Raw genomic sequence first — 24,241 nt, 5'->3', positions numbered from 1 at the left:
CTCTCGTGGTCCTCACTACTGGTCATATGCTAATTATAATGCATTAACATGCTAAGAGACACTCCCACCAGCGCCATGACAGTTTACAAATACCATGGCAATGTCTGGAAACTACCCTATATGGCCTAAAAGGAGGAGGAACCCTCAGTTCTGGGAATTCCCCACCCCTTTCCCGGAAAACTCATGAACAATCTGTCTCTTTTTTAGCGCACGATCAAGAAATAACCATAAAAATAGCCAACCAGTAGTCCTCAGGGCTGCTCTATCGAGTATCCTTTACTCCTTTACTTTCTTAATAAACTTGCTTTTACTTTACTCTGTAGGCTGGCTTTTGAATTCCTTTCTACATGAAGCCAACGACCCATGTGACCTCCCAGGCTGAACCCAAATTTTGAGGTTCGCCTTGTGACAGCCCCGACTACTGACACAATTGTGATAACTGAAGCAGAGCATTTTCACCTGGAAGAAACAAATCTGAAGTCTGAGGCTAGACCCAGAGCCTGAAGGGTGCATTCAGTGGTTCATTTAACACTTAATTAGGGTCACCTTGCACTAGCCAGGTGCTATGGGAGTGGGGACATGGGCCTGCTCCCCAGACCTCAAGGCCTTACAGAAGAGAAGGGCAAGTGCTCACGGGAGGGCTCTGAGAGACTTGGGGCACGGGGACTTCTAAGTGGGAGATAAGGAAGGCTTCATGAAGAACTGAGGAAGGGCATTGGAAGCCTGGTAGGACTTTGACCATGAGAGATGGGGAGGAAAAGCTTTCTAGGCAGATGTAACCTGACAGGAATTCAAGAGGTGTCATGTTGCCCAAGTAGGTAGTGTATTTATGAGGAGGCAGGGACAAGATACAAAGCCACCGTTTGTGAGAATTACACACAATTATATTTTTTAGATCCTGTACTTTCCAAGTGGTTATTGCAGGGACCACAGTTGAGTTTTTTTCTCACTGGCTTAGTGATGGTCGTGGGAGAAGAACTTATTCCCATGAACAGAGGGAACTGTTTTAATCACAACTGCATGAGCAAAACACAAGAGGGCTCTTGAAAGAGAGAATTGGCTAATATTGTAGCAAAATCCAGAGCTCCTCAGTGGTAATTTTAATTTCCACAAAGTTAATGAAAGTATAGCCCTCCAGACCTGATATGAAAAAGTAGTATAACGTAGCTAATTGGGTTGTTTTCTAGACTTAGGAATCACCAGGGAAAGGCTAAGCTTAGAGAGGACTGTGGATTGAGCCCTCATCTCTTTTTAATCTCCTCTATAACCTGGCAGATTCTATTGGCTTTTCATTATGAGATTGTACTGCAAATGAAAGAAAGAGGAGGTGGGGTGTTCTGGGCTTGGTTACAGCTGGGTGTTTATCACAGGCATTTATAAGAAGTTAGTACACTTTCAGGCCCTCTGACAGGAAGCTTTGTAACCTGGCATTCATGTCATGCCAGCATTAAGTTTAGAGAAATGCTCCATTATTTGATTAATTGTCTTGGATAAAAGCCTTAACTGATGTTCCAGTTGACCTACAAATCTTGTGAAGTGAGTTTTAAAAGTATTTGTAAATAGTATGTATCCTTATAGCTCATGAATGTCAGAATTCTACACTGGGGCCAGCACAGTGGCTCATACCTGTAATCCCAGCAATTTGAGGGGCTGAGGAGGAAGATTGCTTGAGGCTAGGAGTTCAAGACCAGCCTGGGCAACATAATGAGACCCCATCTCTACCAAAATAAAAATTATCTGGGTGTCATGGTGTGAGCCTATACTCCCAGCTACTTGGGAAGCTGAGCTCAGAGGATCATCTGAGTCCTGGAGGTTGAGTCTGCAATGAGCAATGATTGTGCCACTGCACTCTAGCTTGGGTGGTGATGAAGTGAGACCGTGTCTCAAAAAAAAAACAAAAAAAAACAAAAAAACAAAAAAACTACATTGGGCCAAACATCACAGAGCAGTGGGCAGAGGGAAGACCCTATGTTGAAGTGGGGGATCTGTGTCCACATGGTGTGTCACATGGCCACTGTTTTCCACATCTCCAGTGTCAGCTGAGTGGGCTCAGGCAGGCATGTGACCCAGAGCCAATAACGTAAACTCACTTTCTCTCATCTGAATTAGGAGAAGAAACTAGAGGATTGGGTAGATTTGGCTCCAGCGGCTCTGCTGGGCTTTGTTGCAAGTGGAGGAAGTTGAGTTGAGCAAGAAGAGGAGAGAAAGGTGTGAAAACCAGCGACCATAGAGACCAGGGGATAGAGAGAAATAAGAGACGGCCATATCTCTGAAGGAAAGAAAGAGTAGCTCTTTCAAGTAGTTTCTGGGCACTCTTTCCTGTATCCATGCAACAAATCCCCTTCTCCTTGCATGAGTGTGGGTGGTTTCACTTCTTTGTTACTAAACTTTCTCTGTGACCATGATCAACTAAACCCTGGGAGGTATACAAGGAAAATATGAAACCTTGTCCCCTGACTACTGAACTTCTCAGTCTTGATAGAGCAAGAAAAAAAACCCAAACCTGGTCCTACTTATCCCCAGAAATGGTATTGTACCTCCTTTTTCACTTGCTAATTTTAAAGTCCCACTGGCTGTCACTTAGATTGGGTGTATACATTGTTTTTGTTCAAATGGATCCATCTCATAGTGGCATTGAGACCAATCTTCTTACCTGTCCGAAGGGAGGAGAACAGCCCCTTCCCAGCTCTCAAAGAGATGCCTGGGTGCTCTCCTTTGTATATTCATTCATTCATTCATTCATTCACTCACTCACTCATGCTTTCAGCTGATATTTTTTTGCCCACAGTTTGCCACATCTTGTCCTAGGTTTGGGGAAACAACAGTGAACAGAAGAGACAAAGTGGCACCGAGAGCCTGGTAAGGGCAAGAGAAATTAACAAATTAGTAACATAACACATCAGTAGAGGCTGGGCACAGTGACTCATGGCTGTAATCCTAGCACTTTGGGAGGCTGAGGTGGGCAGATCACTTGCTCAGGGGTTCTAGACCAGCCTGGATAACGTGGTGAAATCATGTCTCTACAAAAAAAAAACAAAAACAAAACAAAACACAAAAATTAGTTGGGCATGGTGGCACATGCCTGTAATCCCAGCTACTTGGTAGACTGAGGTGGGAGGACTATCTGAGGCCAGGAGGCAGAGGTTGCAGTGAGCCATGATCTCGCCGCTGCACTCCAGCCTGGGTGACAGAGCAAGACCCTGTCTCCAGAAAAAAAAAGAAAAAAAGTAGTTAGTTAATTACAACCATGATGTGTTTTATGGATGATGGGGATCATGGCCTTTTGGGAGGATGATGGAAGGCTATCTGGTGAAAACAACCTGTAAGCCGGGGTCGAAGAAGGAATAAAAATTGACTAGGAGAAAAACATGTCATGGACTTCACTGGAAGTTGAGCCTGGAACTCATTCAGATAATGCCTTCTTTATCCCACGATCATATAGATTAAGTTAGAGGCTCTAAGAAATTTGGGATTGTGTGTCCAGAGATATATAATGTGCAGTTAAAATGCTCCACCCTTGCTGGGAGATTGGTACTGGAGAGAAATGATGGTTAAGCCTGAAGCTTCAAGGTCCCAGGCTAAAAAGAGACAAGATCTTTTATTCCTTGAGTGAAAGTAGTAACAACAAACTAGGGGCAATGAAAAGGAGTTCTCAAATTTGCTAGAGAACCGTGCTGGCATCTTAAAACTTCTAGAAGCTTTGGAACTCGATCCTTCTTCCTTCGTTCCTCTTTCTTTATTCTTCCCTTCTCTTCTTCCCCTGTTTTGCCTCCCTTTAATCGCCCTTCCTTTCACTTGCCCTGTCTTCCCATTTCTTCTCTCCCGTCCCCTCTCCTCCATTTATCCACCCAACAAACATACATCAGGCATCTCCTTTGAATAAGACATTATGGGCCCTGCCCAGAAAGAGTTTGGCAGTGAATTAATTGACTGATTCCACCAGCAGGCTGGGCCGTGGAGAGAGATATATGTGGAACTATATTCGTTATAGTGAGTTCATTCTGTGTGTTTATATGAACAGTGATCATGGACTATATACTCTTACATGTACTCTTTTTAAAAGTGCATGCTCAGAGCAGTGAGGAAGTGTGGAGAAGGAGTAGAAAGCAGTTCTAAATGCAGGTGTCTGCAAAGGGCGGTTAGCTCTTTTGCAAAGCACTGTGTATTATATATCATTATTCTGTGTCATATTTGTGTGCCTTGAGGATTACATTGTAAGCAGTTCGTGTGCAGGAATTGTGTTCTCTCTTCTGTAAAATGGTGACTGCAGTGTCATTTACCCAGTGGGGATACAATAAACGTTAATTAATGGTGGCTTATTCCTTAACATAATTTTCCCTTTCAGATTAATGAAGCAGATTCCTGATAAATGCACTTGTCTCTCCAGAGTTTCATTTGCTAAAGCTCAAATGATGTAAAGGATTTGCCTGGAGGTGTGAAATTTTTGCCCAGTTTTTTTTCTTTTTTCAAGTGCCATTTGGAGATGCATTTCTTTCCTGAAAATAATTGGCACTAGTGAAATTAATTCTAGGTGGAAAAGAGAAGTATGTAGTCATGTTCTTGCCTGCTACTTTGGGTGGCTATTTGATCTAAAAACAGCAATTAAGTTTTAAAAGGGAATGGCAGGTGTTTACTGGGTAGAGCTAAGGCCCAGTTTGTATATGCTATCAAGCTCAAGTTAGAATATTAGAATATTCTTCAGGAATTCTTAGAGACATCCTATTCTCCTTGCAAAATAAAAGAATTTCCATAAAATCCAGATTAAATATCTGGACACTTAGAGGTTCTTTGAGATATGTGTGTGGAGTATGAGTGAACAAAGGTGAAGCAGTCTGAAGAAAATGGTTTAATTTCATGCTTGTTGACCCTTAGTTTGTAAGGTTACGTTCTGCCAGAGAAAAAAACTGATCTACTATCCAGTATTTGCTGAGAAATGACAGTAGATTAATCAGAAGACTTCTGAAGTGAGTCAGTAAAGCAGCATTTTAGGTTTTGTTTCTTTTTGTTTTATATGATGTGTGTTAAATGATTTCTGATTAGAGAACTGACAGAAATGTAAACACTTGAATGAAACTTTCAAACCATTTGCAGAACAATTCCTTACCCTTTCTTATTACGTCTTTGCTTATAAATTGTGTTTTCTTTTCTGTGAATTTTACCCTAGAGGAGTTTGCTGTGTGTGTTCTCATTCCGTTCCGGATGAATTGGCGGGTGGATAGGCCAGCTTGCTCCCAAGCGTCTTCTTTCTTCTAGGGGGAAGGCCATGCTAGGTGAGCATCAGAGTGTGTATGTGAGCCTTTGTGCTGTGATCTGTAGGAACAGAATGGTTCTGCATGCTTCCTGGTCATGAGGTGAGGAGCACAGAAATGTGGATCCTTCAGTCCTGACACCTCGCATCCGCAAATTATGATTTGGGCAAATGGTTTACTCTTTCAGCCCCAGGATTGTGTAAAATGAGAATAATGGTAATCAGGAGCTGGGTGCAGTGGCTCATGTCTGTAATACCAGTACTTTGGGAGGCTGAGGCAGGAAGATCCCTCGAGCTCAGGAGCTTGACACCAGCCTGGGCAACTTGGTGAAACCCCATCTCTACAAAAAAAAAAAAAAAAAAATGCTGGGCATGGTGTTGTGCATAGGCCTGTAGTCCCAACTACTCAGGAGGCTGAGGTGGCAGCCTGGGAGAGTGAGGCTGCAGTGAGCCGTGATCATGCCACTGTACTCCAGCCTGGGTGACAGAGCAAGACCCTGTCTCGAAACAAAACAAAAAAAACAGTAACCAGCCTTGCTTGTGGCCAAGACAGAGCTGGGAGGATTAGAGACTGTGACTGTGAAAGCACTGTTATAAACTGCAGCCCAGCGCTTCTCAGCCCCTGCCACACATCTTGTGAAATGGCCCTGTTTCTATCATTTGTGTAGTGGCTGTTACTGACATGGCTTTGATAACGGAAGTATTTTGAAAAGAGTGAGAAGAGAAAGATAAATGTGGGGGAAGCAGCAAAGGACTACTCTGTGCTTTTTTCCTTGAGCTAAATGCTGGGTTAAAACCAGACCTTGAGCTTTAGATAAGCTTGTTGAAGGTGGGAAGAGGCTTCTAGTGGGTTCTGGGGACATCATAACTAGGCAGTTGGACCTCAAGGTTGAGGTAGACCTGTTTTCTCTGGCACTATGAGGGAAGTGTTTCCCCTTGTTCTCCGTGTCCCTGGGATCTTTTAGGAGAGAACTTTGACTTCTCCTATTGCTTTCTGGGTCCACCTCGTTCTTCCAATAGCACTGCCCTCCCTTTGCTTAGGACTTTGCTTTCCCTTTCATTGCTGAGTACCATCACACCCCCATGTGCTGGTGCCCATGGCCAGACATTTACAAGGCTTCTCCATCCTTATGAAGGAAAATACTCTCTGACTCCCTTTAGGGTTTTTTTTTTTTTTTTTTAGAGACAGTCTTGCTCTGTTGCCCAGGCTGGAGTGCGGTGGCACAATCTTGGCTCACTGCAACCTCCACCTCCTGGGTTCAAGTGATTCTCCTGCCTCAGTCTCTGGATTAGCTGGTGTCAATTGTGTGCCACCATGCCCAGCTAATTTTTGTATTTTTAGTAGAGATGGGATTTCACTATGTTGGTCAGGCTGGTCTCAAACTCCTGACCTCAAGTGATCCGCCCACTTCGGCCTCCCAAAGTGCTGGGATTACAGGCGTGAGCCACCATACCAGGCCTCTTTAGTCTTATTTCCTTAAATTTTCTTTACTGGATATGGAAACTTTTTTTTTTTTTTTTTTGAAATGGAGTCTCACTCTGTTGCCCAGGTTGGAGTGCAATGGTGTGGTCTTGGCTCACTGCAACCTCCACCTCCCAGGTTCAAGCAATTCTCCTGCCTCAGCTTCCCAAGTAGCTGGGATTACGGGTGTGTGCCACCACATCCAGCTAATTTTTGTATTTTCAGTAGAGATTGGGTTTCACTATGTTGGCCTGGCTGGCCTTGAACTCCTGACCTCATGATCTGCCTACCTTGGCCTCCCAAAGTGCTGGGATTACAGGTGTGAGCCACCGCGCCTGGCGGAAACTTCTTAACTTTTCTTTACCCTGCATTATGCAGGGACATGAACAATGAATTAAAACAATAAAATACTGGTTTGGATTTTTTTTGCCTCTGAAATTGTTTAAGAAAGAAAGATGTTGGAGAGTGATAGGGCAGAGGACAGCTCACACACGACTGAGAATACAAATTGTTACAATTTTTTTTAGTTGTGAGCTGGCAGTATTTATAAAAAAAAAAAACTTAGCAGTTCCTCTTCTAGAAGTTTATTTTCACAAAATCTTTTTAAAGTTATGCTAAGATTTAGATACAGAGAGTTTGTTGAACCGTAATCCGTCATAGAGAAAAAAGTTAAACATCATCGTAATGTTCGGCCATAGGGAATTGGGCAATAAGTTGTGGCATATTTATGTGATGAAATGTTCTGCAGTATTTTAAATAGTATTGTAGAAATTTATTGACATGGTATGTTGAATTAAAAAGGTTGTAAACATGATTATGGCCTGTAGCCATTTTCATAAAAAGTTGAAAAAGGGCATACAGTCAGCCCTCCGTATCTGTGGGTTCTGCATCCCTAGATTCAACCAACTAAGGATTGAAAATATTCAGGAAAAAATATGGATGATTGCATCTATATTGAACATGTACAAACTTTTTCTTGTCACTTTCCCATGAAGAATAAAGTATAATAACTATTTACATGGAATTTACGTTGTATTAGGTGTCATAAGCAATTTAGAGATGATCTAAAGCATATGGGAGGATATGCAGACATTATTATCTTTTTATGTAGGGAGCTTGAGCATACATGGATTTTGATATCCAGGCGGAGTCCTGGAACCAATCCCCCATGGGTACTGAGGGATGACTGTACGATTGACCCTTGAACAGCGCAGGTTTGAACTGTGCAGGCCCACTGATATGTGGATTTTCTCAATACAAATTAAACTGAGTGTGACTGCCTCTCCTTTCACCTCCTCCAACTCTTCTGTCTCTGCCACCCTGAGACAGCAAGACCAACCCCTCCTATTCTCCTCCTCCTCAGCCTACTCAATGTGAAGAAAAGGACGAAGACCTTCATGGTGATTCACTTCCACTTAATGAATAGTAAATATATTTTCTCTTCCTTGCGATTTTTAAAATAACATCTCTTGGCCGGGCATGGTGGCTCACGCCTGTAATCCCAGCACTTTGCGAGGTCAAGGTGGGCAGCGCACTTGAGGTCAGGAGTTCGAGACCAGCCTGGCCAACATGGCAAAACCCTGTCTCTACTAAAAATACAAAAAAATTAGCCAGGTGTTGTGGTGTATGCCTGTAATTCCAGCTACTCAGGAGGCTGAGGCACGAGAATTACTTGAACCCAGGAGGCAGAGGTTGCAGTAAGCCGAGATCGTGCCACTGCACTCCAGCCTGGGTGACAGAGTGAGACTCTTGGGGAAAAAAAAAAGTAAATAAAAAACAAAATAACATCTCTTTTCTCTTGCTTTGTTGTAAGAATACAGTGCTAATATGTGCTAATCGACTGCTAATGTTATCGGTAAGCCTTCCAGTCAACAGTGGTGTATTAGATAAGTTTTTAGGGAGTCAAAAGTTATATGGGGATCTTCTGCCCTCAAGTTGTTTAAGGGTTGGCCATATATATACATAAAAATTCTGTAAGTACATTTGCCAGGATTTTAAAACTTCTCTCTGGTATTGGATATATTATGAGTATTTTTCTTTCTATTTGATTTCTTTTTCTATGATGAGTATTCTTTTGTATTAAAAAGAGATTTTTAATTAAAACAAAACATAGAGTAGCCTGCTGCAGAATGGAGCTCCCTTAGAAGCCCCAGTTTCAGATGTTGTGCAAGGGAGGCCAACCTTGTGTCCAGAGAGGTAAGTGCTACTCGATCTGCATTCAGGATCCCGTTCAGGTCTGTGTCTGTGTGTGTGGGAGGCAGAGAGTATAGATAAATTATAGCATATGAGGCACTTACTCACTGATCCTTTGCCTTCTACTCGGAATCCTTCTGTTGGACAGTGGCATTTTCTTTGAAAACAATTTAAAAGATTATTCCTTTTGTATATTGCACCCCTTGTTACCAACATGTTTACATGTTATTCAATTCTGACAAATGGAATTTCTAAATTAACAATTTTTAACCTTTGTGTAGAAATCATAGGGGAGGAAAAATATTTTTTTCTTCACTCTTCATAGTTCTGTCAACTAAACAATGATGAGGTTCATAATTTGGAAAGGAGAGCTTTATTTCTCACAAACGGCCGCAGCCTGTAGGGTGACCATTTTGACAGGCTGGGAAGCATAGTCTCTGGCCAGAAGCCAGAAACAGGCACTTCAAGGGTGGGAAGAATAAGACAGGATTTATACTGAACAAGGTGGCCAAATATACATATTCAAGAAGCTATAGGAGGAATCATGAATATTTATGAAAGAAATATGTACACATGCAATTGAGCTTCATGCTGCTCCATGAGATCCATGTTCAAAAAAATGCAGCATTAACATGATCCAGGGGTGGAGTTTTCAGCCCTCTGACATCAAAAGATGAAGTAGAGGACACGAAGACCCTCACTGCACATCCTCCATAGACTGGCCAGAACCACTCTCGTGGTCAGTGGTCTCTTATCAGGAATACCTGTCAGTTGCTTTGTTGAAACTACAAAAGGATGGGGGAGTGTCAGTGGGCTTGATTGAAATGGGGGTGGAGTTGTTTGAAAGGGCTGGTTTCTGTTTAGCCCTTAGGGAAGAAAGCCTAAGAGCAGTTAGAGACGGAGTTGGACCTCCCATCCTGTCATGGCTGTGAACTCTGTTTTCAGGGTTTCTCTGAGGTCCCCTTGGCTAACAGTGGTATCTGTTTACTTGGTTGGGGGTTCTAGAATTTTATTTTTATTTCTCAGTTCTTAGTTGGGATGGACCTCTGTAACAAAAGACAGATTAACAACAGAAAAACTGAAATTTAATACATGCACATGTACATATCATGTATACATGAGAGGTACTCAGAGAAATGAGTAACTCTCAAAGAGGTGACAGGCTTCAGGCATAAATGTCATCTTCCTCTGAGATTAAGAAGGGTGAGGGGAAGGCAGATTTTGGGGAGGTATCCAGGAAAAGTACTGTAAACATTAGTAAGTTTTGATATGCAGATTTTTAAGTTTGTGCCTTCTCCATTGATGAGGCTCTATAGTTTAGTCATCCTTATTATCTTCCTGGTTCAGAGAATGGAGACTTGCTTTATAAATGTAAATTTCCCTTACAAAAGGATAACTTCTTTGTTTTCAGAGCTGTTCTGGTGTCTGTAGTTTCTCAAAATAATCCTTATGCCAAAGAGGCATATTTTAGGGAGGCATATTCTGGTCTTCTATAATTATATTTTGGGGTGGTATATTTTTGGTCTTCTACAGCATATTCTGTTACACAATTCTGAAAATCTTTCTTCCACTTCACTATTTCCTTTAGCAAAAATTACATGAGAAAAACTGATAGAGATTGCTTTGAAGGAACTTTTGTTCTAAAGCCAAGACCTACTTTGTTTGGAGGAAAAGCTCTTATACATGCAATCATTAAAAGGAGATCTATGTTTATTGGTGTGGAAAGATGTCTGTGATGTGTTTCTTAGTTTACTAGTACTGCATTAACAAAGTACCACAGACAAAGTGTGTTAAACAACAGAAATTCATTGTCTCACAGTTGTGGAGGCTGGAAGTCCAAAATCAAGTCATTGGTAGAGTTGGTGCCTTCTGAGCACCATGAGAAAAGGATGTGTCGGCTTGTAGATGATCATCTTCTCCCCATGTCTTCACTGCTGGTCTTAAACTCCTGGCCTCAAGTGATCTTTCTGCCTCAGCCTCCCAAAGTGCTGGAATTTACAGGTATGAGCCACTATTCCTGGCCCAAATTTCCCCTTTTTATAAGAACACCAGTCATACCGGATTAGGGACCACCCTCAAGATCTTATTTATCTTGATTCCCTTTATAGAGAACCAATCTCCAAATAGGGTTCTATTCTAAGATACTGGGAATTAGGACTTCAGCATATGAATTTGGTGAAGGATACATTTCAATCATAAAAATATATTTTCCCCCTATTTTATTTAATTTTCACGGAAAAACCCTCATGTTTATTTGGTTAAACAAAAATAAGCTGCATAGGAACAATTTTAAAGTCCAGAGAGACACCAACTTTGTTTTAAGGCTGTAGCAGCTGTTACAGCATCTCCTTGCTACCTCCTCCAGCCTTCTCTGTGGACTACAGTGATACATTCAGAAGCCTGTTAGCTAACGCAGGAGTTTCTGAACACTTTTCCATTGGTTCTTCACCTGCTCATTGCCTGTCATGCCTGCGGCCTGCAATAGTAACATTTAAGATTTAAAATGTGAAAGCCAAGAGGAGGTTTCCCCCTATTTTAAAAGACATCGTTGTTATGAAAAATTTCAAATGTAAATACACTAGAGAAGATCATGTTGAATTTCCATGTCCCCATCAACAGCTTTAGCTACCCCCAAAGCCAATATTGTTTCATCCTTGCTCTTTTACCCCCATTGGGTTATTTTGAAGTATGTCCCAAGTGTTAGAGATGATACATTCTAAAGTGATCAAAGGTTATACAATTATATATAAGGGGTGATGTTTTTAAGATAAAATAATATACCTCTGTGTGTGTAGATATAAATTAAAAGAGTCAGAATAATACCAGAATGTTAACAGCACTTATCTCCAGGAAGTGGGATGACAGGTAACTTTACTTCCTTCTTTATAACTGTCTTTACTGTCTGATTCTGTTGGGATGGTTGTTGATGGAATGAGCCAGCCTTTTGTAATCGGAAAGCAAAACCAAAAAAGCTGGTTTCCAGATGGTGAGAATGGGTGGGCTGAGGGACAGTGGAAAGGAAGGAACCTTCTCATTGTTGTTTTCTGAGGCAGGAGATAGTTTTTTGCTTCTAGAATATATGAAAGAAATACGAGGAAGTCCACAGGAGCATGTGTCAGAGTGTAAAGGGCGCTGAAGTGGAGCCGGAGGACTAATGGTGAATTATGCCTTGCCAGGAAAGTGAAGCTGTGACTTTGGCAGAGTCATTCAGCTTCTCTGAACTCAGGTTTCCTGCCTGCCAAGAAGCAGACTTGACAGACCCGTACGATAAGTTGTGTTATGATCTCACATTTCTTGAGGATCTCAGTAACGGTTTCCTCCTAAGGAGTTTGTAAAGATAAAATTTGCATTTTATGTTTGTGCAGTGTGGTGTTACTATTGGGAGTGGTAAGGCAATGATTGTAGAAAAGCCAAAGGTGAAGAAATGACAGAAAGGAATCAGTTTCTTGGAACTGCAGAAGGCTTATCTCCCCCCATCTTCAGAAAGTGTCTTTTGAGTGTGTAGGTGCAATTCAGAATTTTGCATTTACCTTTTGCCCTCAACAGCATGGCCTGGTTTAGAGACAACACTGGAGATTTCTTGATACCAACTCAAACCATGGAAGGACCAGAAAAAGCTTTGGATGTTCTGGGTCTTTGGGTTGTCCTTTCAACCACTCTTTTGTTCCATCCCTCTCATCTCACATGATAAAGTGTCAAATTGTTGAACTTCAAAATGCCATTAGCCTGTCCTGCCTTCCAGGGGCAAGGGTGGACAGAAAAACCTGGGATCATGGCTTAAGTCACTTAGTGACGGTCAGCCTCAATAATGACACCATGAAGTCCAAAGCAAAGTAAGTATGAATCCAGAAAGCAGGTAAATATCTAGAAATAATGAATGCATCTCTTCTGCCAATTTCCTGAAAGGGAGAATAGATTCTATTACCAAAAAGATTAGTACAACTTCCAACCGGCCAGTTAGATCTGCTTATGAAGCAGTCTTCAACTTGGAAGTGGAAATAGGGTGTCTACACTTACACATCTTTGAAAGGAAAGCAGACTATTATACCGTTAGGCATAAAAAAATGACTTCGGGCCTGAGACTCCCCTCCTACCCAGAGTTGGGGGCAAGGTGCAGCTATGGGCATGAGCAAGGGTAATCCTGCTCCCATCCTGGAAGGCTGGAAACTCCATTCTTTCGACTAGAGGCACCAGTCAGAGGTCTGGGGAAGCTCTTTCTGTCCCCTTTGGTAACACTAACAGGGACCAGTAGAGGCTCCAGAGGCAGGAGATGAAGCAAGCAAATCAAAATAGTACCACAATGGCTCTGAAATGAGATTGTCATTGGAACCACAGCCCATACAAGCAGGCCAGGACCTATGTTCTAAACTTAAACATGAGACTTCCAGCCTAAAAAAGAAAAAAAGCAAATGGGACCCAGAGTCCCCTAACATAATAACCAAAATATCTAGGGTAGAGTTGAAAATCATCAGTCATATCAAGAACCAGGACAATCACAACATGAGTGAGAAAAGATCTTATCTGACACCGAAACTGAGAGTGAATAAAAATATTAGTTTCACTGGAAAACAGCCATGCCCATTTGTTTATTCATTGCCTCTGGCTGCTTTCAAGCTACAGTGACAGAGTTGAGTAGTTGCCACAGAGAACATACGGTCTGCAAAACCTAAAGTGTTTACCATGTGGCCCTTTACAGAAGTCTGCAGACTCCTGCAGTAAGCTCATTGACGACCTAGTGGTCACTGTTTTTGAGATCCTGCCGCCTGTTTACCTTTTGTTTGTTTGTTTGTTTCCTTTGGTTTATAGTATACAGTGTGATATTTCTTATATTGGTTTCTCCCTTCTCTTTCTGTGTCTTTTCCTTTCTTCTTTTTCTTTGTAACATTGTCATCTGTTTAGCCAGCACCCTCTCTCCACTGGAGCTGGATCCCTCTTCCTTCCGCTCATCTTGTCCGTTATTGCCACCGTCACTCTCTTAGCCCTACTGAGAGAAATGTGTTTTTGGAAGTTCTGTACACTAGTTGGGGGTTTTCTTTCTCCACTCACTAAAACAGGCTTAACAGATACTTGGCAGTCACGAACTGTTTGGGACTGGCCTACACAGGATTGTGTTTGTGGGTATGAGGAGCAGTGTCCCCAGGGGCTCAGGACCTTGCCTAAAGGGAACGCTTGGAGGGCTATCATTTTAGGTGTATGTTGTGCCAGGAGGTGTAGAACAAGAGACATAGGCTGGGAATTAAAGGGCGAAGGTAGAATGTCAGGTAGAAAAAGTCGGCAGCTCATTGAGAGAAGACAAAATTGTTCAGGTGTGAGACCAGGACTGACTGTGCCCCAACACTCAGATGTTTGGAGAAGGGGGTTGTGGATTGGAAAGCCAGCTCTCCACATATCAACTTACAATTTGTTAATAAAACAAGGCTGACTTTATTGTTTGCCACTGTGAGGAAGAACACCACCTCCACAGGGCACTGGCTCTGTCTCCAAGCGGGGAAGGCAAGGTCAGAATTTATCAAGAACTGGAAGTTTGGTATACAATGTGGAGACTTGATTAGGATTAAGATTAAGAATCAAGATTTAACAGTTCAGAATTAGTGAAAACAACAAGGCAAGGATTTTGAGGCAAGGCATTCAAAGACTTTTAGAGGGCAGAGTGTTGATGGTTTTTATTAAAGCGTTGATGAACATTTGGGGAAGTTCCTGTAATGAATCATCAAACCATTTCTGGGATGGAGTCCCCTGGAAAATTAAAGTATTGCTCCTGAGAGTAGTGGAATAGGATAATAAAGCAGCCATGTTAAGGCAGACAGTAAGCTGTTTGTGTGTGTGTGTGGTTTTGGTTTAATGATCCATAAAGCGGCCGGGCATGGTGGGTAACACTTGTAATCCCAGCACTTTGTGAGGCTGCGGCGGGCAGATCACCTGAGGTCAGGAGTTCGAGACCAGCCTGACCAGCATGGAGAAACCCTGTCTCTACTAAACATACAAAATTAGCCGGGCGTGGTGGTGCATACCTGTAATCCCAGCTAGGCTGAATCAGGAGAATCACTTAAACCCAGGAGGCGAGGCGGAAGTTGCGGTGAGCTGAGGTCAAGCTATTGTACTCCAGCCTGGTCAATAAAGATTGAAACTCTGTCTAAAAAAAAAAAAAAAAAAATCCTTGAAGCACAGCTTTAAAGCTTAGGTGAGGACATTGGCCAAGTGAAAAAGTGCCTACGTTAACCAAGGACTGATCCCCTGACTCAGAGGGGAACTTAGCAGGGACTCAGGAATTCCACCAGACTGAAGAGAAATGCCAAACCAAGGCCATCTTGTATGTGGCATCAAATTGTATGGTCTCCTTCCAAGCCAGACAGATTGAGTAATTGAAGGCACTGGGGCACCGGTTGAGGCTCTGCCAACAAGACAAGCAGCTTTGGTTCCTTTAGGATTAGGAATGTTTGTTTAGGAGCTGCTTCATGCTGAGCTTTTGGAGAGTAATGGAGGAGTGACTGAAGTTGTCAAATTTGTTGACACCTGACCCATCAGGATTGGACTTTGCAGGTGCCTCTGAAACTGCACAGGGTTTACAGCTCAGAAAAATCCGAAGCAGTCAAGACAAATGAGGCCCTTATCTTCTTGCTGTCTCCCGCAGCCCTTGCTTTACCCAGATTTAAACTTGTTGAGCTAGATATCATTGGTTTTTGATCTTTGCATCTTCGTTTCAGCTTTTTTGACTTGTTTTTTTCTTCTTCTGCAGCCACTGATGCTATTAACATTAACTCCTATGATTTGATTTTGTAACGCATGTGTTATTGTTTATAGTGCAAGAAACAGGCCATAGAATTTTTATTCCCTCTCTGACAAGTTTCTTATCTGTGAAGTTCAACTTGACCTACGTTTCATCTCTTTTACAACCTCAGAGTTGATATTTTCAGGTGATTGTATCTCTGAAATTTAATTTGGGGCTCTGTTTTTGTGCCCATGTTACAACATCATGATGCCTTGATCGTGGAAGCTAAATTCCAGAAAGAAATGAAATTTGTGCTTTTTGTTTGTTTGTTTTTAAACAATCATGGATGATTAATGTTGGTGTGCCTTGGAGGAAGTATTTGGGGTTATAATTTGAAACTTCGTAATTAAAGTAAATGGTTCAACATTTTCTTAAAGGCTGGGAGATCTAGGTGAGTCTGTTTGTTGATGGTTGGGCTTTGCTCCTTTGTTGATAAGCTGGTAGGCACCTTGAAGGGGAGAAGGAACCCTCTTTAAGAATTTGCTGTTGATATTTTTGGTGCATTCAGCCTTTCGGTACCACATTTATCTTCTCACATGTGCCCTTAATTAAAATGAGAGAGAGATGGACATAGCTAAAACTTGTTCTTCGGAAGTCTGATGAAGAGTCTTCATCAGTGCCTCCCAGTCTTAGCAAGTGTTGGAGCAGTAATAACTGTGATGCACAGCTCCAAGGCTAGAAATCCTACATTTCTTTCAGGGTTCATTCAACTTCTTTTGGATTCTGATGAAGCTAACGTAAAGTGAAGATTGGCATTGATTGTGTCATTAAAGACTAGAGTTCTGTTTCACATCTCATGGAAAATGAGAAGAAAACGAATCTTTAGGAGGTGTCTACTGTGTGCCAATCACTGTAAAGCTTGTATTATTTTTAGCATTCAGTTTCTCAAGAAAGAAGTCAAAAGCCATGAGGTGCCTGGTTACTGATGTGTCTCTAGCAAAGGGTTACTCAAGGGGCACTGTTAGCATTTTAAACGGCAGTGTTCTTTGTTGTACAGGACTGTGCCCTGATTCAAGAGACATTTAGCACTCCTGGGCTCTATGCTTTCAGTGCCGTAGTTCTTCCCCAGCCATCGTAACTGCCAAACCCCACTGCCTTTAAAGGCTACCTGCCGTTGCTATTGGCAATCGGCTCTCAGTAAATACGGATGAATACTTTTTATTTTTATTTTATTTTATTTTATTTTATTTTATTTGTTTGTTTGTTTGTTTATTTATTTATTTTGAGACAAGGTCTCACTCTGTCGCCCAGACTGGAGTGTAGCGGTGTGGTCACAGATCACTGCAGCCCCACCCCCTGGGCTCAAGAGATCCTCCCATCTCAGCCTCCTGAGTAGCTAGGACCACAGGTGCACCACCATGCCTGTCTAACTTTGTTTTTTGTTGTTGTTTTGTTGTTGTTGTTTGTTTGTTTTTGTTGTTTTTTTTGGTAGGGATGTGGTTTTGTTATGTTGGCCAGGCTGGTCTCAAACTCCTGGCCTCAAGTGATCTGCCCTCCTTGGCCTCCCAAAGTGCTGGGATTACAGGCGTGAACCACCACGCCTGGCCTGAATGCTTTTTTAGAGAGCTAGTATGTGGATTTCATCTCTGAGCACGTGCATCTGTTGTAATAGAGAAGAATATTCTCTAAGCCGGTTTCGTGTTTTTATTATCTAAGATTTTCATAATGTCTTCTGTTTATGAAATAATAATTATCCTATACTGTATAATTGGAATATAGTTCTTTTTGTTGATTAGAAATGAGTATATACCGTATAGTTTATGGCTTGATTTTATTCACCTTTTCTCTTAAGGTGAATAAAATCTTAAGATTATGGCATCATTCATAATAATAAAAACATAATGCATCATGTTTCATCATGATTTCTTCTTTCTTTTCAGTGCATTTTTCTAAGACAGGATTTTATGGTAGGAATTTACAGAAATGCTGACTACAAATAGCTCGAAATCCATTTCTCCCTGTTAGCATTTATACATACAAATGTCAGAGAATACATAGACGTTTTATCTTGTTTGAAGTTAAATTTAACTAGTTGGCAGTACTTCTTGGCAAACTGATAATGGAGGTATTATCTGTTACTAAATCTTCAGCCATATTATGTTCATCAAGTATTCTGTAGAGTGTCATAAATGGATTCTCTTGCACTTCTGTGAGAGGAGGGAAACTTGGATTCATTCATTCAATAGGTAGGTACTTACAGTACTTGGGATACATCAGCAGACAACACAGATAATGATTCCTGCTTGCACACTAGCATAAATGAATATAATAAGGAAATTACAAGTTAGTTTGGAAGGAGGTAAATGCTGTGGAGAATAATGAGGTTGGTAAGGAAGATAGGTGTGCCTGGGATTGGGCTGGAGGTGCAATTTTTATTTTTTATTTTTTGGAGACTGAGTCTTGCTCTGTCGCCCAGGCTGGAGTGCAGTGGCGCGATCTCAGCTTACTGCAACTTTTGCCTCCTGGGTTAAAGCGATTCTCCTACCTCAGCCTCTTGAGTAGCTGGGATTACAGGTGCCCGCCATCACACCTGGCTTATTTTTGTGTTTTTTAGTAGAGATGGGGTTTCACCACATTGGCGAGGCTGGTTTCGAACTCCTGACCTCAAGTGATCCACCCGCCTTAGCCTCCCAAAGTGTTGGGATTACAGGCGTGAGCCACCATGCCCGGCCTGGAGGTGCAATTTTAAATGAAGTGGTTTGGGAAGATTTCTCAAGAAGGTGACTTTTATTATTTTATTTTATGTATTTATTTTTGAGATGGCGTCTCACTCTGTCACCCAGGCTGGAGCACAGTGGTGCCATCTCAGCTCACTGCAACCTCTGCCTCCTGGATTCAAGCGATTCTCCTCCCTCAGCCTCCTGAGTAGCTGGGACTACAGGCGTCCACCACCACAGCTGGCTAGGTTTTGTATTTTTAGTAGAGATGGGGTTTCACCATGTTGGCCAGGCTGGTCTCGAGCTCCTGACCTCAGGTGTTTCACCCGCCTCCCTAAGTGCTGGGATTACAGGCATGAGCCACTGCAAGCAGCTAAAAAGGTGACTTTTAAACAAAGACCTGGAGAAGAAATGAGTACTTATTGAGCTCTCCTTATTTCTAGGCACTGTTTTAGGAGCCAGAATGGCTAGGTAGATCCTCTGTAATCTGCAAAAAAACAATTTGCATGGCCAGATTATGGATGTGTACACTAAGATGAGAACGCTCAAACCACATCTGTGGAATGTGTCTATTAACAATAATCTTTTTAAAAACATCGTTTTGAAGTAATCGCCGATAGCAGGTATTTGTTTCAAAAGGAAAGAGAAAAAAGGCTGAGCAAAAAAGAAACGAGCTTTGTGTCCAAGTCTGGCAGTCCTTACAGAATTACTGCTTCTTCCCACTGGTGACATCATGGTGACAAGGATCCTCCAGGGATGACAGTGACAAAGTAGGAGATGTTACTTCAAATAAAAACAGCTTTTGTGGAGAAGATTAAAAAACAGCGGACCAGAGAACAGGAATTTACTCCTGCTTCTGATGTCAGTGGGCTTTGTGACCTTGGGCGGGTTGCTTGAGCTCCTCCACTTCTTAGACTCGCTAATTATTTGTTAGACATGGTGCCGAAGCACTTTATGTACATCATCCTGTTTAATGGGATGTTATAAAACATGAGGAGGATGAACTTCACAAGATAACCATTAAAGTCCTTTTCTAGATCTTGTGTTCTTTTCTTTTTGATTTGTTAGTTCAAAGACATCATTAGACTACTGTTTGTCTTTGTTGTTATGATAAGCTTATGAATTGAAGCCAGGCCACAAGATATGATTATTTGCCATAGCTTAAGCCATGGAGTAGGGCTGGGTCTAGAATTTCTGGTTTTTCTCTTCCTGACATCTCTCCTGGTGTTAAGAAGGTCATGTCCTGTTTAGCATTTTTTTTTTTTTTTTTGCAAGCGAGCGAAGGGGGCTCAGCATTGGTTTCTTTGTAATCTCCTTTGTACAAACACCAGCCCCAGATTTCCCTTCCAATTCGTGAACTCTGAACAGGACTAGCAAAGAGTTAAGGTTTGGAGCTGGAGGAAAAGCAAGGAGGGAAAGCCACACAGTGCGCCTGCTGTCTCAGATAACCTTCCGTAGAAGAAGGACTCTAAAGGTGGTTGCAAGGACTGCTTTCAATGTATTTATTATTGACTTACCTCCAGAAGATCTGTAAAATGATATACCCAGATGGCCCTAATGGCCCCTTTTAGCTTGAAAGTTGACAAATTCTCTTTTGATTAGAGTGCCTTTGGCTAAATTTGCCTTGACAGATTTCACCCAGGATTGAGTATTTATCAAAAGACGAATGTGCACCGAACACGCTGAGTTGACCCTCACCTAGTTTTACCCACTTCTGTGGTTTATCTGCCGCCTCCCCAGCCTGTCGAAAGAACTTCCGCCCCTCACCTCCTTACTGTCTTCTTGTTTTGTAGATGATGAACCAGGTGGAAGGGCAGCAGAAGAACCTTGTGCACGCCATTGAGTCCCTGCCAGGGTCCGGCCCCCTCACTGCCTTGGACCAGGACCTGCTGCTCCTGAAAGCTACCTCTGCTGCCACCCTCAGCTGCCTTGGGGAGTGCCTCAACTTGTTACAGCAGAGTGTGCACCAGGCGGGCCAGCCCAGCCAGAAGCCAGGAGCCTCGGGTAAGACCCCCGGGGGCTTGTCCATGTTTGGGATGAGTACACACACTGTGTCTGTGTCCCACTGTCTTCCTCCTTTAATTCCATCCATTTCTCTACGATCCATCCATCTATCCTTATATCCAAGTATTTCTACTGCCCTTCGTCTCTACTGTTTGGGATATATTTTTATGTTACAAGTTACAAATGTAACATTTCATGAAAAATGTAATTCTGCATTAATCTCTCCTGCCCTTCCTCTACTGTTTGGGATATATTTTTATTTTAGAAGTTAAAAATGTAACATTTTATGAAAAATGTAACTAACATATTTACATAAATACTATGGAACACCTTTCAGACTTGCTGGCATCACATTATAAGTCTCATTCCACTCATGACGTTTGCACTCAGCATTCTGTGTTTTTTTTTTTTTTTTTTTTTTTATTTGAAGATTCATTTCATTCCATTCAGTGGGTACCTTAAAATGACAAAATGGACACGGAACCTTTCAAATGTAAATAAAAGCAGAGAACATAGTAAAGAAACCCTATGGGTCCATTAATGAGCTTTGGCAATTTTTAACATTTTGCCAATTCTCCCACTTTTTTTTTTTGAGTCAAAGTCTCATTCTGTTGCCCAGGCTGGAGTGCAGTGGCACAATCTCGGCTCACTACAGCCTCCGCCTCCTGGGTTCAAGAGATTCTCCCGCCTCAGCCTCCCAAATAGCGCCCTCCACCATGCCCAAATTTTATGTTTTCAGTAGAGACGGGGTTTCACCATGTTAGTCAGGCTGGTCCAGAACTCCTGACCTCAGGTGATCCACCTGTCTCAGCCTCCCAGAATGCTGGGATTACAGGTGTGAGCCACTGTGCCTGGCCCCACTTCTTATTTTTATTTTTGGCTTGAACATTTTAAGGCAAAAGCTCCCCATTCTATCTTTTCTTTTTTTTATTATTATTATGCTTTAAGTTTGAGGGTACATGTGCACAACGTGCAGGTTTGCTACATATGTATACATGTGCCATGTTGGTGTGCTGCACCCATGAACTGGTCATTTAGCCTTAGGTATATCTCCTAATGCTATCCCTCCTCCCTCCCCCCCACCCCACAACAGTCCCCGGAGTGTGATGTTCCCCTTCCTGTGTCCATGTGTTCTCATTGTTCAATTCCCACCTATGAGTGAGAACATGCGGTGTTTGGTTTTTTATCCTTGCGATAGTTTGCTGAGAATGACGATTTTTTTTTTTTTTTGAGACAGAGTTTTTGCTCTTGTTGCCCAGGCTGGAGTGCAATGGTGCAATCTTGGCTCACTGCATCCTCTGCCTCCCGGGTTCAAGCAATTCTCCTGCCTCAGCCTCTCGAGTAGCTGGAATTACAGGCATGCACCACCACACCCGACTAATTTTATATTTTTAGTAGAGATGGGGTTTCTCCACGTTGTTCAGGCTGGTCTTGAACTCCCAACCTCAGGTGATCCTCCCGCCTCAGCCTCCCAAAGTGCTGGGATTACAGGCCTCAGCATTCTGTTTTTAAGATCCATTGGCATGCAGCATCTGGTCCATTATTTCTGTGGTGTTGAGGCCACCACATTATACCCAGCGACTCTCGGATGACAGACAACGCACATTGCCTCCAGCTCTGTGCCCCACTCACCTCGCTGCAGTAAACATCCTCATGCCTGTCCCCTCATGAGGATACCTCTAGAATACACACCAGGAGTATTTCTAGTTGTTAATCAAGAAGCCAGGGATAATAATGCATTCCTTTGAGATGCCTCAGTCCTTTTGGAGGAGGGTTTAATCAATGAGCAGATATAAAGATATTTGTGAAGATTAAGATAAAGGTAAAAATAGCTTGAGACTGGTTATGTCACATATAATTATAAAGTATAATTAACAGAATAACAGCAGCCTTATTGTGCTTTGTTGCCCAGGGGTCACTTAATTAATGAAGGAATGAGGCAAGTTAGGTGATAGGAAGTAAAGCCAGATTATGAGTGATAGTCTTTATATTTCATGCTTTCCCCAACTGCCCTTTGCCCTTTGTTTCACTGAAGCATGAAAGGGACTGTTGGTTTTTCAGAGTAGATTGTGTGTGGGTAATTTGGTTTTCTTTTGGTGAAACCCACCATCATTTACTGAACTTGGCCTTTGCTACATGTTTTCTGAAATCTTTACAAAGTAGGTATGATTATGCCCATCGTTCAGATGATATGCTGGGACACAAAACAATTAAACAACTTGCCCAAGACCACCCAGCTAAGTGGCAGAACGAGGGCAGAACCAGGCTCTTTCCACTGTGGCAGGCGTCTTCCCGGCCTGGGGTTCTTTGTTCAATCTAGAACAACCACTCAGTGGGCTCAGTCCCCCAAACTGAGGCCAGGAACCGTGTCTTGCGAGCATTATAATTCTCTCAAGGCAGATGTATACATGTTTTTAAAAAATAATTTCAGACTTAAGTTGCAAGAATAGTATGAAAAATGCTCACATATCCTTCTTCAAATTCCCCAAACAGTAACATGTTATGATGTTTGCTTCACCTTTTCCTTATATTTATGTATTATAATTTTCTAACCACTTAAGAGTAAGTTGCAGACATGATGTCCCTTCACTATTACATACTTCAGTGTGTATTTCTTTTGAAAAAAGGACACTCTCCTCTAAAGACAGCACAGTGATCGAAATCAGTAAATTAACGAGTATAGTCCTCTTTGCTGGTTATCCCATTGTAGCAAAATAAAACAATTTGGGTGCAGAATCCAGTCTAGGAGATTTGCGTGTATTCACGCTGGAGCAAGGGCGCCCAAACCTGCTTTTCTACCTTTCCTCTTGCTTCTCAGCTTTAAGAATGAATCTCAAATGCGGAAGCTCAATGAGGCTTTTGACATTTTCTGATCTGGAATGAGCCTCAGTGACCCTCGCTGAGGACTGGGCACAAATTCGGAGTGAGACTGGAGACTTTTCAGAGTTTCTGTGGTCTCTTTTGCCCTATATTGTAACTTGCAGCTTCTGCAATGTAATAGGCTCGTTCCGAGAATCTCACTAGTAAATATAAGCTTGAATCATTTTCTTATTCCTAAAATTAATCCCTCTTGAAAAAAATATTTCTTCAGGGCTTCCTAGAAAATTCGTTGTTTTTTTTTTTCCTAATTTTCATTGGCTCTCTGGCATTTTTAAGGGCCCAGGGGAACAAAGCTCAAATGGATGCATTTCAGAGGTGGTGACGGGTTGAAATGGAAATTATTGGGAAAAGGGGAGACCAAGAAGTGTCCCTAAAATTATGTCACATCAGGTGCTACCTCCTTCATGTCCTCCCTGTGCTCTCTCTCCCACCTTTGACTGTCACTTGCCCACTCTCCTTCTTTTCTTTCTTTCTTTCCTTTTTTTTTTTTTTGAGACGGAGTCTCGCTCTATCACCCAGGGTGGAGTGCAGTGACGCGATCTCGGCTCACTGCAACCTCCGCTTCCCAGGTTCAGGCAATTCACCTGCCTCAGCCTCCCGAGTAGCTGGGATTACAGGTGCCCACCATGCCTGGCTAATTTTTGTATTTTTAGTAAGGACCGGATTTCTCCATGTTGCCCAGGCTGGTCTCAAACTCCTGACCTCAGGTGATCCATCCGCCTTGGCCTCCCAAAGTGCTGGGATTATAGGCGTGAGCCACCGCACCTGGCTAGCTCACTCTCCTTCTTTTGGACTGTTTTCATCAAGAAACTTAGCTGAAAGTTGGAGAATAGAGCATGAAGCATCACGATCACTACTTTGTTTCCTTGTCATCTTACCCTTTTTACATGTCATATTCCATGTAACACAGCCCCTGAAGTTTTAAAACAACCTACTGTGTGTCTTAAATCTATGCTACCCACTGGGGGAAAGCAGAGTTACTTCTTGCAGGAAAAGCATCATAGTTGGCTGCAGTTAAAATAGAATTC

At 42.2% G+C, this 24,241-nt stretch overlaps 1 protein-coding gene across 16 annotated transcripts in view; it reads left to right on the top strand.

Annotated features, from left to right (window-relative positions):
• The window catches only part of OSBPL10 (oxysterol binding protein like 10), a 416,868-nt gene that overhangs the window by 309,450 nt on the left and 83,177 nt on the right, over positions 1-24,241 (top strand). For all 16 annotated transcript variants that reach the window (XM_047447390.1, XM_047447386.1, XM_047447391.1 and 13 more), the window contains one exon: positions 20,123-20,333. In XM_047447390.1, coding sequence (XP_047303346.1) covers positions 20,123-20,333 — 211 coding nt within the window. The remainder of the gene's footprint in view (positions 1-20,122; positions 20,334-24,241) is intronic.

The sequence above is a fragment of the Homo sapiens genome, chromosome 3 (genome assembly GCF_000001405.40).
Source record: "Homo sapiens chromosome 3, GRCh38.p14 Primary Assembly".
Lineage (NCBI taxonomy): Eukaryota > Metazoa > Chordata > Mammalia > Primates > Hominidae > Homo > Homo sapiens.
Note: the sequence above shows the minus strand (reverse complement) of the source record. Positions and strands in the feature narration are given on the sequence as shown.